The sequence below is a fragment of the Homo sapiens genome, chromosome 5 (genome assembly GCF_000001405.40).
Source record: "Homo sapiens chromosome 5, GRCh38.p14 Primary Assembly".
Taxonomy (NCBI): domain Eukaryota; kingdom Metazoa; phylum Chordata; class Mammalia; order Primates; family Hominidae; genus Homo; species Homo sapiens.
In genome coordinates this window covers 94424-109229 of record NC_000005.10, presented here as the reverse complement: position 1 = coordinate 109229, position 14806 = coordinate 94424, and the positions used below count along the sequence as shown (strand labels likewise).

At 46.2% G+C, this 14806-nt stretch overlaps 1 protein-coding gene across 1 annotated transcript in view, besides 1 other annotated feature; it reads right to left on the bottom strand.

Annotated features, from left to right (window-relative positions):
* The window catches only part of PLEKHG4B (pleckstrin homology and RhoGEF domain containing G4B), a 97799-nt gene that overhangs the window by 80737 nt on the left and 2256 nt on the right, over positions 1-14806 (bottom strand). The gene's annotated exons all lie outside the window — the stretch shown is intronic.
* Positions 8931-9466: an enhancer, noted in NCBI's record as "NANOG hESC enhancer chr5:99879-100414 (GRCh37/hg19 assembly coordinates)". NCBI's record gives its function as "activates a minimal SCP1, AML or CMV promoter by ChIP-STARR-seq in primed H9 embryonic stem cells {active_cell/tissue: H9 hESC(primed)}" and the evidence as "EXISTENCE:reporter gene assay evidence [ECO:0000049][PMID:30033119]".

Below are 14806 nucleotides of genomic sequence, written 5' to 3'. Positions count from 1 at the left end.
TCAGTAGAGATGGGGTTTCACCATGTTGGCCAGGCTGGTCTCAAACTCTGACCTCCTGATTTCCCTGCAAAAAGCAAGACATCCGTGGGCAGCAGACACCCGTGGCTCCTTCAAGCAGGGCCCTGGGGACAGCGGGGGACCCACACTGTCCCTGCTCTGCCCCAGTTCCCATCAATGGCCACTTTCTTAGCACAGCAGGGTGGTGAATGAGAAAGCCAGGTGTGAAACCCACACCCCCAGGAGGCTCGCTCTGGGCTGCCACCTGGTCACAGCCATTCAGGCCCATCAGGACCCAGTGATGGCTCCTGGCGTCTGGCCCAGGTACCCGTGCCCATCTCTGGTTTCCTGTCTGTGCAGTCAGAAACCACCATTGAATCAAAACCTGTCTAGGAAGCCTCGTCCCAAACAGGGCTTGGTGTGCAGGTCGGTCTGTCTACACCAGCCATCTGCACCCAGTCTGTCTACACCAGCCATCTGCACCCAGTCTGTCTACACCCAGCCATCTGCACCCAGTCTGTCTACACCAGCCATCTGCACTCAGTCTACACCAGCCATCTGCACCCAGTCTGTCTACACCCAGCCATCTGCACCCAGTCTGTCTACACCAGCCATCTGCACCCAGTCTGTCTACACCAGCCATCTGCACCCAGTCTGTCTACACCCAGCCATCTGCACCCAGTCTGTCTACACCAGCCATCTGCACCCAGTCTGTCTACACCAGCCATCTGCACCGTCTGTCTACACCAGCCATCTGCACCCAGTCTGTCTACACCAGCCCTGCTTTCCACTCAGGCTTCTGTGTATTTTGGATTCTTGACCCTCTCCGCTGGAGATGCTGAAGACGCTTCTAAGGCTAAAAGTTCCGTTGGCCCGAAGTTGGTACAACAGGGTGCCAGGAAGGAAGGACGGCAAGGGGGAAGGAAGGGAGTGTGCCTTGCCTCTCTGGGTTTCTGTTCTACGTTCTTTGAAGAGTTCAGCAATCACCAAAAGCCACATCATCCCTGGTTCCTAATGCACTGACTTTATCACCTGAGTAGATTTAGAGAGATTCCCAGGTCCTGGTGAAAAGCTTCACCCAGCAAATGTCTTACTCCCCTGAAATGGTTTTCCGATTCCCATAACCAACCCAATCCACAAGGGAAGCCCACTGGAGACGCAGGACCTGGTGGCAGGGGATGGCTGGGTGCTCCAGAGTCTGGGGTCAAGCTGGTAGTCTCTGTTTCGAGGCCTCCTCTCTTCTAATTCCCTGAGCCTATGTGGTTACTGTGCCAGAAAGGTGCTGCTCCACTCCACCACACTCTAATTCCTATATCCCTGAAGCCCAGGTATACAAACCTGGCACACCTGGACCCAAGCTGGTGCCCCAGCCCCACCCGGATCACTGCATTGGGAGCTAGTGGGCCAGGTGGTGATGCTAGCTGCTCTCTGATGAGCCCCACCGAGGTCCAGCCAGAGCTCCTGGCCACACCAGGGCAAGTGCAGAGAAAGCCTTGGCTCAGTTCCCCTCCTCACTGACACATGCCTACCAAGCCCCAGCCCAGGGCAACCCCCGTCCTCCAGGGACTCACAGTTCAGGGTGAGGCCAGACCCAGGGCGGGGATGGGCAGGTGGGATACCAGAGTGAGCCCTCAGCAGCGCCCTGAGTCTAGGCCAGCTTCCCGGAAGAAGAGGCATCTGAGCAGCACCTGAGGGTAAGAAGGTCTCGCTGCATGAGCAGATGGGTAAGGGAGCACCCAAGACTCTCCCAGGTGAACCTTCAGGCCTAGCAGCCCCTTCTTCCTCCTAGGAAGGCCAGGGCTGTCCAGGCTTGCTGGAGGCCTCAGGGGCAACGTCGTGCAACTTACAATGGCAGGACAGGGTGGAGCCAGGGCCTGGGTGCCCAGGATGGGGCCCAGAGCAGAGGAGAGCAGTGGATCCCAGAAGGGCCAAGCATGGGGTCTCTGGGGTCCAGGGTCCCTGACAGCAAACATCAAGTAGGCCCTGTCCAGTGAGCCCCAGGGGCTGTGACTGATGGGTACATGTGGCCGCCTCAGCAGGGCTGGCACCTCCTCCAGCAGGCAGAGATGGGCAGGACCTGGAGCAGCTTTACAGTTGGCTGAGCATTAATAATGAGCCATTATGCCTAACCCTAAAGCCCGAGAGAGGTGGGTCTACATCCACAAGTCCTGCTGGGGCAGCCCCTGAAGCTGCAGATTCCAGCCTCTTCCCATGTCTGCACTGAGCAGGCCTTGCCGGGAAAAGAATCGGATAAGAACTGCATCCTGCATATGAGTCTCCACATGTGGGCACACATACAGTACCTAGACACCTGCGTGCGTGCACACACACGTACATACACGAGAACTGCGCCCTGCACCTCATCTCTCACCACACACACGTGCACACACACACACAGAAGCTGCACGTGGCACCTCAATATCCCTGTGGGCACACACGTGCACACAGAACTCAGAAACTGCAGCTACACTCCTCCTGTCCCTGCCTGTGCAGCCACCCTGGGCTCCGGCTCTCACGTCAACACCTACGTCTGCTCTCAGCCCTCACCCTGCTGCAGGGGGAGCCACTCGTAAATTCAGCAATGCATGGAGCTTGCAGAGTGGGGTCCTGACAAAAACCTCTAACTGAAATTTGTTTCAGGTTTTGAAATGTGAGCACGCTGTGGACAATTACAAAGTGCAGTTCTACATGTTCGTTAAATCGGCCACCAAGTACTGTTGGCAGATTTTTCTGCCAAACTAAGAACAAAATACCTTGAAATAAATAAATATGCAAGTATTTTAATATAACTCTGCATTTAGGAAGGTAATTTCTATCATGAAATCTAAACAGTAAAATTTTAATCTGAGGACTGGAACCTTCTTCTGCAAAACAAAGGGCTGGATGGGGGAGCTGTCAGGCCCCCGGAGACAGACTCCAACCTGCCCAGATGCCTTTCCTGGAGCAGCAGTACTCGTGCTTTCCTCAAGGAACTGAAAATAACTAGGAGGAGAACCACAATATGCTATGCCCAGTTCTTTCACACTCAAAACAAGGGTCCTCAGAATTTTTACAGTGGTGAAGGCCCTCAACAAAAAGTGTGCAAGACTGATGTTAACCACAATCAGTCCTGAGCTGGGTTCTTTATGCTGAATATGACCTTAGCTGGAAGTAAGGGTTTGTTCATTCCAAACTATGGCTAGGCAGAAAAGATTACACCAATCTAAAAGAAAATTTCCTATAGTCTTAATTATACCAAATCTAACTTTTCTACCATTGCGTCCAATTAGGGAAATTGCTGCCTTCCATCAATACCTGGTCCCACGACAGAGCAGGACAGAGAGGCGGCGGGTGCGTGCTCGGCTCATGGGCCCCCCCAGCTTCTACAGCTGCCGTATGTTACAGTTCTGCAGGAGAGCAGTTGATAACAACCATTCTTTCCTGCTTACGTCGTCTTGAAAACCATTAGGTAGAAAAAAAAAGTCCTCAAAATGTGTCGGCTTAATTAGATGTACAGCTTCTCAGGTCTCAAAGGGAAAAATGCATTCTTGTTCCTCCAAGGGTCTGCTGGCTTTGCTGCTAGCAGCACGGCTGAATGAAACCAGAATAAACCAACTTCAAACGAAAAGCGAATTCCCTTTTGTCTGAGGCCAGCTGCTTTGCCAGGTCTGTCTGGGATCCTGTTTTAAACAGTACACCTGGCCTCCCCAAACCACTGCCATGCATGTTTCCAAAGAGAAATAACTAATTCTGGATGATACCATTGACAAGATGATTGAAACTAATTTTTCTAAATTGTAGATCTGACAGCAGATTCCACGTAAATCATCAATATGGTTTCTTTCAAACACCTTCAGATTCCATTTAACAATATAAATAGGAGTAGGTACAAAAGTGGTAAGTGGAGCTATACTGTGTATTTGCATAACTGGATTTGAAATTTCACCTAACACCCTTCCAAAGCAGCTTCTGAGCAGGGCCCCCAGCCACAGCTGTGAATCCACAGCCATGACGGGAATCAGCCTCATGGAGAAGTCTTCAAGACAGGAGCATGAGAACCCAGAACAGCCCTCACCCACTGCGGAGTGTTTCTCCACCTTCAGGACGGGAACACCAAAACCAGAACAGCCCTCACCCACTGTGGAGTGTTTCTCCACCTTCAGGACGGGAACACCAGAACCAGAACAGCCCTCACCCACTGTGCACTGTTTTTCCACCTTCAGGATGGGAACACCAGAACCAGAACAGCCCTCACCCACTGTGGAGTGTTTCTCCACCTTCAGGACGGGAACACCAGAACTGGAACAGCCCTCACCCCCTGTGCAGTGTTTCTCCACCATGGAGGGAGCTGGCACCTTGTTCTGATTTGAAGTCTTACAGCAGGAAGGTTGTAATTTATGGTGTTAGTGAAAAACCACAGATATGATTTAAATTACGCATGATTGTTGTGCTTTTCCTAAAGCATCTTTCAGCTTTTAATCTGAGTTGAGCGGCAATGGTGGTTGAAATGCAGCTCAAAGGATGTCAAACAACTTATCAGAGACTCTGCCTGAGGCCAGGCAAGGCCGCCATGGGGCCTTGTTCACCAGAAAAATGATTATCAAAATTACCTTGTATACTGTACGGTGATTAATACAGCCCTCTTCCTCTTTTCAAAATTGTGTAAAAAAAATCAGCTTTATTATCTATTGCGATGAAGAAAATTATTTTAATACCACTTTAAATTGGGTTACTGGTTGTCAACTTAATTAATATTGGAACATTTATACCCCTTTATAATAATTTTCTTCCTTGAAGGATCCGTATTTTAGAAAAATGTTTATTATATGCTGGATACGGTGGATACTGCATGTTAAGAGCTGGATTTTGTCGTCTTAAGAGTGTTGAGTTTTTTCTGGCAATTAAGTTACTGGCACATGCACATCTGTGAGTGAGTCAGTGCTGGGACTGGGCTGAGGTTGTCTAGGAATCGGTGCTGGGACTGGGCTGAGGTTGTTTAGGAATCGGTGCTGGGACTGGGCTGAGGTTGTTTAGGAATCGGTGCTGGGACTGGCTGAGGTTGTTTAGGAATCGGTGCTGGGACTGGCTGTGGTTGTTTAGGAATCGGTGCTGGGACTGGCTGAGGTTGTTTAGGAATCGGTGCTGGGACTGGCTGTGGTTGTTTAGGAATCGGTGCTGGGACTGGCTGAGGTTGTTTAGGAATCGGTGCTGGGACTGGGCTGAGGTTGTTTAGGAATATCGGTGCTGGGACTGGGCTGTGGTTTGGTGAAATAAGCCAGGCACAGAAACACAAACTTCTAAGTTTTCACTCACACGTGGGAGCTAAAAAGTGGATCTCATGAAGGTAGAGAGTAGACTAGTGGTTACCAGAGGCTGGGGAAGGAAAGGAAGACAGGAAAGAAGTTAGTTAAGAGGTACAAAAATACAGTCAGATAGAAGGAATAAGTTCTAGTAGTCTACAACACAGTAGGCAAATTACAGTTAATAATTTGTTGTATAGATTACTGTATATAGCTAGAAGAGAATCATTATGTTCCCAACACAAAAGAAAAATGTTTGAGGTGATGAATATCCCAACTACCCTGATCTGATCACAGCACTTTGTATAGATGTATCAAAATATCACATGTACCCCAAAATATGTACAACTATCACACATCAATTTTTAAGAAGGAATAGAAAAGGATCTGGCAGGAATTCTGCAAAGTGGCAGTATATCCAGAAAATGGCAGTATATCCAGAGTCGAGGGTGGGGCAATGTACACAGCTGTGTAAAGACAAATGCAGGGAAAACTGGGGAAACCGCTGCGTGCGGTGCATTCTCTGATCATTGCAGGGTTGAATCTCCTCTTCTCCCAGAGTGGGGGTCACTATACCCCCTCCTCAATTTCTCAGTGTTTGAATCCAAGCAGAAAAAATAAAATGAGCCCTGAAAACTGTGTCAGCCCAGGAACAAAGATGGGAAAGGAAAAATGAGAATAAAGCACCCGGGAAAACCCACTCACAACAGCACTGAACTTCACAGGATGCACCTGGTGGGAGCGATGGGACCTGGGTGGGAACATCTGACTTCACACACAGCAAGTGTTGTCTGTCCCCACCCCATGCACTGGCTGCAAGTTCACAAGGTTGAAGACAGACAACACTGCAGCCATCCCAGGGCAAGGCTCCTGTCCTGGGCCAGGGAAGGATCGGGCCCAGGGAGGGAACAGAGCGGTAACTCTGCAATGGAGGGGTGCAAACTTCCTGATGCCTCACCCGGAGCCTCAGCCAGATGTGCTAGCAAGAAGCCTCTAACAGATTTGCTTACCATAACCACCGGCTCCAAGACCCGAGGGTCAGACACAGCCAGCATCAGACTCAGCAGAAAAAAGCCACGTGTCACACAGATGTCGCCCAGGCAGGGCCCCAAATCCGTGAGCACCCTAGGAGTTCCAAGGGGGCCCAAGCCATTGGTGGAGTGTTAGTGCTAGTGTTAGTGTTGGTGCTGTCTGTATTAGTCTGTTCTCACACTGCTATAAAGAGATACTCGAGACTAGATAATTTATAAAGAAAAGATGCTTAATTGGCTCAGCGTTCTGCAGGCCATACAGGAAGCACGGCAGCCTCTGCCTCTGGGGAGGCTTCAGGGAGCTTTGACTCATGGAAGAAGGCAAAGGGGAACTCGTGTCTTACAGGCGGAAGCACGGGCAGAGACGGGGCAGGTGCCACACACTTTTAACCCATTTGCCCTGAGAATACTCACCCACAGCACTGGCGGTTGCAGTGTTTACCCTGAGATAACTTTCCCACCAAAATATCTTGCTTTTATTATTATTTTTATTTACATTGCTCTAGTAGGTCAACTTTGGAAACAAAAGACATCATTCTATTTATAGCATTCTGGTTTTGGTAGCAGTACTTCCATTTACAAAATATAGTCAAATCCTAAAAAAAAAAGCTTAATTATACTCATAACAATAATAAAATGACAGAAACTGATGTGAGTTCTAGTATATGTCAGGCACTACTAGAGGGTTTTATATGGATTAATCTCACAACAGTCTTTCCCTACTACTTCTTCCAGGGATTTATATGGATTAACCTCACAGCAGTCTCTCCCCTACAGGCTTTTTCCAGGGCTTTATATGGATTAACCTCACAACAGTCTCTCCCCTATAGACTTTTTCCAGGGCTTTATATGGATTTACCTCACAACAGTCTCTCCCCTACAGACTTTTTCCAGGGCTTTATATGGATTAACCTCACAACAGTCTCTCCCCTATAGACTTTCTCCAGGGCTTTATATGGATTAACCTCACAACAGTCTCTCCCCTATAGACTTTTTCCAGGGCTTTATATGGATTTACCTCACAACAGTCTCTCCCCTACAGACTTTTTCCAGGGCTTTATATGGATTAACCTCACAACAGTCTCTCCCCTATAGACTTTCTCCAGGGCTTTATATGGATTAACCTCACAACAGTCTCTCCCCTACAGGCTTTTTCCAGGGCTTTATATGGATTAACCTCACAACAGTCTCTCCCCTACAGGCTTTTTCCAGGGCTTTATATGGATTTACCTCACAACAGTCTCTCCCCTACAGGCTTTTTCCAGAGCTTTATATGGATTAACCTCACAACAGTCTCTCCCCTACAGACTTTTCCCAGGGCTTTATATGGATTTACCTCACAACAGTCTCTCCCCTACAGACTTTTTCCAGAGCTTTATATGGATTAACCTCACAACAGTCTCTCCCCTACAGGCTTTTCCCAGGGCTTTATATGGATTTACCTCACAACAGTCTCTCCCCTACAGGCTTTTCCCCGGGCTTTATATGGATTTACCTCACAACAGTCTCTCCCCTACAGGCTTTTTCCAGGGCTTTATATGGATTAACCTCACAACAGTCTCTCCCCTACAGGCTTTTTCCAGGGCTTTATATGGATTAACCTCACAACAGTCTCTCCCCTACAGGCTTTTCCCAGGGCTTTATATGGATTTACCTCACAACAGTCTCCCCTACAGACTTTTTCCAGGGCTTTATATGGATTAACCTCACAACAGTCTCTCCCCTACAGACTTTTTCCAGAGCTTTATATGGATTAACCTCACAACAATCTCTCCCCTATAGACTTTTTCCAGGGCTTTATATGGATTAACCTCACAACAGTCTCTCCCCTACAGACTTTTTCCAGGGCTTTATATGGATTAACCTCACAACAGTCTCTCCCCTACAGACTTTTTCCAGGGCTTTATATGGATTTACCTCACAACAGTCTCTCCCCTACAGACTTTTTCCAGGGCTTTATATGGATTTACCTCACAACAGTCTCTCCCCTACAGACTTTTTCCAGGGCTTTATATGGATTAACCTCACAACAGTCTCTCCCCTACAGACTTTTTCCAGGGCTTTATATGGATTTACCTCACAACAGTCTCTCCCCTACAGACTTTTCCCAGGGCTTTATATGGATTAACCTCACAACAGTCTCTCCCCTACAGGCTTTTTCCAGGGCTTTATATGGATTAACCTCACAACAGTCTCTCCCCTACAGGCTTTTTCCAGGGCTTTATATGGATTAACCTCACAACAGTCTCTCCCCTACAGGCTTTTTCCAGGGCTTTATATGGATTAACCTCACAACAGTCTCTCCCCTACAGGCTTTTTCCAGGGCTTTATATGGATTAACCTCACAACAGTCTCTCCCCTACAGGCTTTTTCCAGGGCTTTATATGGATTTACCTCACAACAGTCTCTCCCCTACAGGCTTTTTCCAGGGCTTTATATGGATTTACCTCACAACAGTCTCTCCCCTACAGGCTTTTTCCAGGGCTTTATATGGATTTACCTCACAACAGTCTCTCCCCTACAGGCTTTTTCCAGGGCTTTATATGGATTAACCTCACAACAGTCTTTCCCCTACAGACCTTTTTCCAGTTACCTACATTTTGAAGTCTTATGCATTAGTTTTACTAACTTCTGCAGACTTTCTAGTAATTTTATATTTTGGCCTTTGGCACAAACTTGTTTCTCAAAGAGGTCATTTCTTATTTCAAAATTTACATTTTTAAGATATATTTTCATATAACGTAATGAGATTTAAGAGCAGAGTCAAAAAATTAGTTCTAAATCTTCCACAAAACACTAGTAAACCAAATCTAACAGCATATTAAAAGGATTATTCACTGTGACCAAGTGGTAATTATTCCTGGAATGCAAGCGTTCTTCAACGTAAGAAAACCAATCAATGTAATACACCACATTAACAGAACAAAGGAAAAAGCTCACATGATCATCTCAAGTGACACAGAACAGGCATCTGACAAACTCCAACACCCTTTCATGATAACAGACCCAGAAAACCAAGAATAGAAAGAAACTTCCTCCATATGATAAAAGGTATTTATGAAAAACACACAGCTAATATACTCAATGGTGAAAAACTCAAAGTTTTCCCCAAGATTAAGAACAAAATAGGGATGCCTGCTTTCTACACCTCTATTCAACATTGTCCTGAAAGTTTTAGTCTGAGTAACCAAACAAGAAAAAGAAATAAAAGGCATCCAAATTGGAAAGGAAGAAGGAAAACCATTTCTGTGTTCAGATGACACAATCCTCAATATAAAACATCCACAAAAAGCTAGATGGCTAATAAATAAATTCTGCCAAGTTGCAGGGTACAAGAACAACACACAAAAATTAGTTATGTTTCTATACACCAGCAATGAATACTTTGAAAAGGAAATTAAGAAAATGATTCCATTCACAATAGCATCTAAAAGAATTAAATACCTAGGAATAAATTTAAACGTAAAGGTAAAAGACTTGCTTGCTGAAAACTACAAAACATTGCTGAAGAAATTAAAGAAAACACAAGTAAATGGAAGACATTGTGTGTTCATGAATTGGGAGGCTTAACATGTAAGACGTCCACACTACCTAAAGTGATCTATAAATTCAGTGCAATCCCTATCAAAACTGCAACGGTCTTTCTTGCAGAAATGAAAAAGATGATCCTCAAATTCGCATAGAATTGCAAGGGCCCCAAAATCGCAAAATATATATATATATATATATATATATATATATATATATATATACACTTTTTTTTTTTTGAGACAGACTCTCGCACTGTCACCTGGGCTAGAGTGCAATGGCGCGATCTCGGCTCACTGCAACCTCCGCCTCCCAGATTCATGCAATTCTCCTGCCTCAGCCTCCCGAGTAGCTGGGATTACAGGTGCACAGCACCACACCCAGCTAATTTTTTGTATTTTTAGTAGAGACGGGGTTTCACTCTGTTGGCCAGGCTGGTCTCAAACTCCTGACCTCATGATCCACCCGCCTCAGCCTCCCAAAGTGCTGGGATTACAAGCATGAGACACCACACCCGGTCCCCAAAAAATTTTTTTTGAAAAAAAAAAAAAAAAAAAGGAAAATTCAAGTTGGAATACTCAGACTTCCTGATTTCAAAACTTATTACAAAGCTACAGTAATCGGCCGGGCGGGGTGGCTCACGCCTGTAATCCCAGCACTTTGGGAGGCTGAGGCGGGTGGATCATGAGGGTCAGGAGATCAAGACCATCCTGGCTAACACGGTGAAACCCCTTCTCTACTAAAACTAACACACACACACACACACACACACACACACACACACACACACAAATTAGCCAGGCATGGTGGCACATGCCTGTAGTCCCAGCTACTTGGGAGGCTGAGCCAGGAGAATCGCTTGAACCTGGGAGGCAGAATTTGCAGTGAGCCAAGATCGTGCCACTGCACTCCAGCCTGGCGACAGAGTGAGACTCCATCTCAAAAAAAAAAAAAAAAAAAAAAAAAAAAGCTACAGTAAACAATGTGGTACTGACAAAAGAAGAATTGACATTGAGGGTATAGAATTGAGGTCTGGAAACAAACCCAGGGTTCAAAGACCCTGGCTGAAAATGGGGAAAAAATAATTCATTCAACGAATGAATGCTGACACAACTGAATAACCACATACAGAAGAATGAAGTTAGACCCCTACCCCACACCACATACAAAAGTTAACTAAAAATGGATCAGCAACCTAAACACAAGACCTAAAACCATAAAATTCTTAGAAGAAAACATTGGGGTAAACCTTCATGCCTTTGCATGTGGCAATGGATTCTTAAATATGTCACTGAAAGCATGAGCAACAAAAGAAAATATAGATAAACTGAATAATAATAGATAATGGATCAAAAGATATATAGATATAATGAAAATTAAAACTACACTGAGATAATGGTTCAGACCTACCAGGATGGCCATAATAATAATGTAAAAAATATAAAAGAACAAGTGTTGGTGCGGATGTGGGGAAATTGCACCTGTGCACTTGCTGGTGGGAATGGAAATGGTGCAGCTGCTATGGAGCGAGTCTGGTGGTCTGTCAAAAAGTTACACAGAACTGTGACAGAATCTTGAAATTCCATTCTGAGGTATATCTGCAAGAGAAATGCAAATATACATACACACACAAAACTTGTAAACACATGTTCACAGCAGCACTATCCACAAAAGCCAAAAGAAAAAGTCCAAATGTCCATCAACAGATGAATGGACAACTGTGGTCTATCCACACAGCGGAGAGTTATACAGCCATGAAAAGATACGAAATACCGACACATGGTGCAACAGATGAGGTTCACAAACGTCGTGCTAAGTGAAAGAAACCAGACACACAACCCTATATATTGTGCGATTCCGTTGATATGAAATGTCCGGAATAGATAAATCCATAGAGACAGAAAGCAGATGAGTTGCCTGGGGCTGGGGAGGACGGAATGTGGACAAACAGCTTGATAGGTAAGGGGTTTTGACTTTGGAATGAGGAAAACGATCTGGAGCCTGAATGACAGGTAAGGGGTTTTGACTTCGGAATGAGGAAAACGATCTGGAGCCTGAATGACAGGTAAGGGGTTTTGACTTTGGAATGAGGAAAACGATCTGGAGCCTGAATGACAGGTAAGGGGTTTTGACTTCGGAATGAGGAAAATCATCTGGAGCCTGAATGGCAGGTAAGGGGTTTGGACTTTGGAATGAGGAAAACGATCTGGAGCCTGAATGGCAGGTAAGGGGTTTTGACTTTGGAATGAGGAAAACGATCTGAAGCCTGAATGACAGGTAAGGGGTTTTGACTTTGGAATGAGGAAAATCATCTGGAGCCTGAATGACAGGTAAGGGGTTTGACTTTGGAATAAGGAAAATGGTCTGGAGCTAGAAAGAGGTGGTGGTTGCCTAACATTGTGAATGTACTGACCGCCACTGAACTGTTTACTTTAAAATGGTTGATTTTACGTTATGTAAATTTCACTTTGCTAAATTCTTTTCAGAAAGTTAGTCCTAGTACCTTGTGGAAATTGTGCTAATTTTTTTTTCTCATTTGTTGGAACTGTTGCTCTCCTTGTATTTATTACTCCCACCCTAGCTGTAAACTTTCCCAAACAACCCCCTTCCCTATGCTTTTCTTTTTAAATACTGTCTTTTGGGGAGAAGGTATCTTTGTCTTGGAGGCATGAGTGGTCACTGTGATTCTCTGGGTTGCTGCCATGGAATGCTCCAGCCTCCAGACACATGAATATTCACTCCTATGCCCAATGTGGTCCTACAGACTGACTAAATGCTTGTTCCAGTGAGGTCTTCTTTAATCTTTCTCAACAATCCATAAAGAAAACTCAGGAACCCTTGAACTCAGAAGGGTTCACTGCCTAATAATTTGGGCACTTCTACAAAACACTTCTTTAAAATATTACATGATTGTTTTGCTAAAATCCTACATATTACAGTTGTAATTCCTATTTCTTGGTGATATCTTTGAGTATAAACAACTTGAAAATAATTTCATTGAATATTTTTCCCTAAGAAATTTGACAAAAAATTGGAACTCATTCTTTTTTCCTTACTTCTAGAAAAATCTCCATCTCTCTCATTTCAGAATCATAGAATGATAGCTAACATTTATTGAGCAGTTCCTGTGCTCCACACACTGCAAAGTACACTGCAAAGCTATTATCACTCAAGACTAAAGGTGATTAAGGTGAGGACCAGGGCCTTCCCCTCCCTCTCACTGGGAAAACCAAAAGTTGACCTGGGCCAGTGTGTGCACAGCCTGAATCCCAAACCACTGTAACACCACCACCCACACCAAATGTCCTTTGTCTCAGTCTATTATACCAAAAGTTAGGGATCAAGAGCTTTCAGAAACTCATTCCAATCCCCCGATGTCCCAGTGAATGCAGGGAAGTATGTCACTACCTGAAGGCAAGTGAGAACTTCAGGCAAAAGTTTCCACCAAACTATACCTCCTGCACTAGACCTTGAGGAGTGGGGTCATCACCACCAGCAGACACTGAAGAGGTGGGTGGTCTCCTCCAATGGACACTAGAGAGGTGGGTCATCCCCCTCCAGCAGACACCAGAGGGGTTGGTGGTCCCCTCCACTAGACACTAGAAGGGTTGGTAGTCCCCTCCATTGGACACTAGAGGTGGGTCATTCCCTCCACTAGACACTGGAGGGGAGGGTCATTTTTATTCTTGACAATCTCAGGAATGATGTTCAGGTGGCAAGCCCGGAAGGAGAGTCCCACAGGGCAGGCTCTGCCCATCTGCATAGCCACCAAAGGCAAATTTGTCTTAGAATAAGGCTGGGAAGGGAGGGAATCTGGGCTTTACCAGAGAGGAAGGACAGATTGCTGAGCACTACAGAAGCCGGGGAATGAAGCAACTGGCAGTGCTGCCCGGGTAAACGAGATCTGGCAAGAGACAGGGCATGGCGAAGTCGGCTCTGACCATCGTATGCAGACCCTCCCCAGGGCCGGAGAGGCTTTGGGCTGATGATGAAGGCAGGGTGACCCAGAAAGCCCTCTCTAGGTGAGGCGTACCAGAGTTGAGGGGCACAGGGTGGATGTGGGCGGGCACAGGGTGGATGTGGGCAGGCTCAGCTTCTCCAGGGGAGGCATATTCTTGTTACCTGGCTGACGTAACGACTCCAGTGCAGAACCCACGTCCAGGCTGTGTCAGCCTCAGAAAGGTAAGCAGTTTTAACATGTAAAAGAAATTCAAATTCACCACAAAGTATCTCTTTTGCACAATGTGATTTTCTGTCAGGGGAAATTTTGTAAGATCAATCAAAAAGAATTCAAAAGCTTTGTCTTTGAGAACCTGGGCCCAGGTGTGAACTGCGGCCCAGAAAAGTGTCCCAGATATCACAACGACATAGGCAGCTTTCAATTTAGGAACATTCTGTTAAAGGACAGTAACATAAGTGAAGAATGCAACTGTGTTTCCTTGTTAAAAGCTTGTGTACATCTCTTTTCAAGTTTGACTCTAGGGTACTCGGAGAGGTAGGTGAGGCACAGATGATTCCTGTAAACAATGAACAGACTGAAGCTCAGAGAGGCTGAGCTACTGGCCCGAAGGACAACAGCTCATGGAGGGTGGATGTGCTGGTTTCCAAGATTCCAGGCCTGTTCTTTGGACAAAAGATCGGGGTCTGGAGCCTGTTACCCACTTCACAGACACCTCCCCGAGAGCCCCCCATAAGGTAAAGGGAAATGTTGGGTGCCTTCTGCTTACCAGAGTCCAGATTCCCAGGCCCAGGACCAACACCTTCAGGATGGAACCTGCCACCTCTCAACCCCCTCCAGCCCCGCCAGCCACTCATCCCAGCCTACCCCTCTTCACTCTCCCCCTGCCCAGATTCCCAGGCCCAGAACCAACACTTTCAGGATGGAACCTGCCACCTCTCAACCCCCTCCAGCCCCGCCACCCACTCATCCCAGCCTACCCCTCTTCACTCTCCCCCTGCTCAGAAGCACGT